The sequence below is a fragment of the Homo sapiens genome, chromosome 17, assembly GCF_000001405.40.
Source record: "Homo sapiens chromosome 17, GRCh38.p14 Primary Assembly".
In the NCBI taxonomy this organism is placed as follows: Eukaryota; Metazoa; Chordata; class Mammalia; order Primates; family Hominidae; genus Homo; species Homo sapiens.
In genome coordinates, this window is record NC_000017.11 from 13,244,961 (window position 1) to 13,249,110 (window position 4,150).

The window sequence follows — 4,150 nt, forward strand, 5'->3', positions numbered from 1 at the left end:
CCTGAAACACTATATTGAGAATTGGAGACTAGAGACTGAGAATTTGAAGTGAAAACCCGTTGTCAATCTGTCCCTGGGGTTATGTCCCGGGAGTGAAGGTGAAATAATTAAGGCATCCAATTAAGTTGGCGTTTATTGGTGAATGCTCTGACTTCTGAGTAGCTCACCTGCGTATGTCATATAATCTTAGAAAGAGCATGCTGGAATCATTATGCTTCAGTCATGAGTCTCACTGGTAGAACAAGGTCTAAGGGCAAGACAGAAAGATCATTTTCCCCTGAAATCTGCCTATCTCATTAGCCTTTTCATGGGTGATAAAACTTCTCCTTCTCTCCAAATATGCAGGGGTCCCATGGCTATCAATACTAAGCATGCCATTTCCATTATTGTTATAAATTATGTGCCAAGTCCCTGGAGACCCTTGTCCCAAGGTACAGATACTTACTGAAGATGAACTATTATATGACAGCACAAGCGAAAAGGAACTTCAGGAAGTAAAACTAACAGACATTTTAATAAACCATTAATCCATTTAACATGTGTAAAATGGCAATTCCAGAAAGTGGAGTACCTAGTTCACAATGATTATTCCTGAAATTACACCACACACACAAACGCACACGCCCCCACACACACACACATACCCCTCCCAAGTAAATATGACCAAGAGTTTAATATTCTAATTTTTCTTAATGGCTTTTGTTTGATTTTTCTACCTTTTCTAATTTTTCCAATTGAATAATGTATTAGATTCTGCCCATCCCCCCAGATTAGTTTTTGGTTTTCTATTTTTCGGGATCTGAAATGCAACAGAACTAAAAGTTGACCCTGCTAGTTGTATAACAAAGATACTGTAGAATTATATTATCAAATTATTTATAAGTCTATATTTATAATGGCATTGGAGGTACTTGGTTAAAATTTGATAAAGTTGCCACAAAATGAGATTGGTACTCCTATCAAAGTGCTGTGCATTACATGCTTTGGTCAAATGACCAAATCAGCTCCACAATTTTACACAAAATGTTTATTTCAAAATACTTATTTAAACAACTCATCTTATATCTTTACTTTCTATCACCAATCACTGTCTTGAAGGTATTTGACGTAAATATAAATAGTTATAAATGAAACTAATACATAAATAAGGCCAATTTCCTTCCTAAAAGCTAAATATTAGTTTTCTTTCATCCCATGAAATTTTAAGAAGAAAAGTACTCTTCCTCAACAAACAATGAAAGAATTTGTTGCTGGCTGATCTGCCTTACAAGCAATACCAAAGGAAGTCTTTCAGCTGAGAAGGAAAAATACCAGATGGTAACTCAGATCTGTATGAAGAAATGAAGAACACTATAAATGGTAAGGGAATAGTGAACATATAAGATTGCATAAAAGTGGGCAGATCACCTGAGGTCAGGAGTTCGAGACCAGCCTGGCCAACGTGGCGAAACCCCGTCTCTACTAAAAATACAAAAATTAGCCACGTATGGGGGGCACAAGCCTGTAGTCCCAGCTACTCGTGAGGCTGAGGCAGGAGAATCGCTTTAACCCGGTAGGCGGAGGTCGCAGTGAGCCGAGATTATGCCACTGCGACAGAGAGAGACTCCATCTCAAAAAATAAAAAGGTGTATAGATATGTATGGTACCACCTTTTCTCTTCTCTCTTAATTTCTTTAAAGATTTATAATTATGTATTGTATTGTTGAAATTATAACAGAAAGGTGAAATATATATGACAACATTAGCACAAAGAAAGAAGAAAAGGGAGCTATATTGGGGCAAAGTTTCTGTATTTTACCTGAATTGTTAGTATTAATTTGAAGTACATTGTGATAAACTAAGATGCAAATTACTATTCCTGGAGAAACTACTAAAAAATATAAAAATATTTATAGCTGAAAAAGACGAAAGAAAGTAATACACTAAAAATAGTCATTTAATTTAAAAGGCAGCAAAAAAGGGATAAATACATGAGACATATAGCAAACAAAATAGTATAATCACAGATGTAAATCTACCCATTTTGAAGATTCTATTGAAAGGTGAATTAAATAAACAATTCAATCAAATGGCAGATTGTTAGACTTAATTAAAAACAAACAAACAAATAGGATCCAAATAGATGCCTTCTGTAACAGATACATTTTCGATTTTAAGAAGTTGAAAGCAACATCCAACAGTAAGAGATATAAAATATTTATATAAATAACAGACAAAATAGGCTTGAAGACTACAAATATGACTAGAGACAATAGGGCTATAGCATATGAATAAAAGGATCAATTCATCAGAAATATATAATAATTATAAGTGCATACACAACTAAAACAGAACCCCAAAATACATTAAGCAAAAGTTGACAGAACTGAAAGGAGCAATAGATAATGCAACAATAATAAACTTTAATATTCCACTGTCAATAATTAATAAAACAGCTAGACAGAAAATCAGCAAGAATATATGGGATTTGAACAACACTATCAACTACTTTGACCTAACAGACATTTATAGAACAGTCCACACAATGACAGGAGAATACACATTGTCTCAAGTGCCAATGAAACATTCTCTAGGATAGACCATAAAACCATTAACAAATTTAAGAGGATTCAAATAATAAAAAAATAAGTTCTTTGGCTACAATGGAATTAAAGAGCAATGAAAAACAACAATGGATGCTTGAGGGGATGGATATGCCATTCTCCATGATGTGCTTATTTCACATTGTATGCCTGTATTATAACAACTGTTGTACCCCATAAATATTTATATATATATATATATACACCAACCATGTCCCCACAAAAATTAAAAAATAAACAAAATTTGAAAAAAGTAAAACAATGGAAAGAAAACTGGAAATCTTCAAAGACTTAAATAAACCAAGGGTAAAGAAAAAAATTACAATGGAAACTAGGAAATATTTTGAACTGAATGAAGATAAAAACACAATATATCAGAATTTGTGAGATGCAGCTAAGTTTAGAGGAAAATTTAGTGCTTTAAATGCCTATATTAGGAAAGAAAAAAGATCTCAAATTAGTAACTTGAGCTTCTACTTTAAGAAACTAGAAAAAGAAACAGCAAACTAAGCCAAAAGCTAACAGAAACAAGGAAATACTCAAGACTAGAGGATACATCAATGAAATTACTAACAACATAACAGAAGTTAAAAGGATTACAAAGAAATAGTATCACCAAATTTAGGCCAATAAGATAACTTAGACAAAATTGAAAAATTCTTAAAAGGATTCAAATTACCAACATGAGTAAAAGAAGACATAGAAAATCCAAATGGACCTATTACAAATAAAAAGCTGACTTAGTAACTAAACTCTCACAAAGAAAAGTCATATTCAGCAGGTTTTGCAGATGAATTTTATTAAATATTTAAATAAGAAATAATATCAGTATATTTTTTTACAAACACATTCATGAGTCAAAAGAGGAGGAAGAACTTCTTATTTATCCTGGGGTAATATTAACTTAATATGAAAGTCAAAAAAGACATCACAAGAGTGGAAAACTACAGGCTAATAGTCTTCATGAATATACACACAAAATTTTTAAAAGAAATATTAGCAACCTCAATCCAGCAATATATAGATAGGATTACACACTATGGCCAAAAGGGGGTTTGTCCCAGAAAGCAAAATTGCTTTAAGATCTAAAAATCAATTAATGTTGTATACCAATTATTAATGGAATAATAGACAAAAACGCACAATTATCCAAATAGACTAAAAAAAGTATTTGACAAAACTTGATACTTATTTATGATAAAAGCCCTTAACGAACTAGGAATAGAAAGAGAAAAAAAAATCTATGAAATATCTGCAGCTAATATTATACTTAAAGGTGAAAGACTGAATACTTTCCCTCTAAAACTGGGGACAAAGTAAGGATGATTCTTTCACTGTTTACCATCAAACATTGTATTTGAGGTTCTATCCAATGTAATAAGGCAGGAACAAGAAATTGAAGGCATGTGGATTAGAAACGAAGAAATAAAATCATATTATTCATGTACCATTTGACCTGAATGTAGAAAATTCAAGAAATTCATTAAAAATCTACTAGAAATAATAAATGTTTTCAGCAAAGTTATAGGATACAAGATCAAAATATAAATATCAATTGTATTTCTATA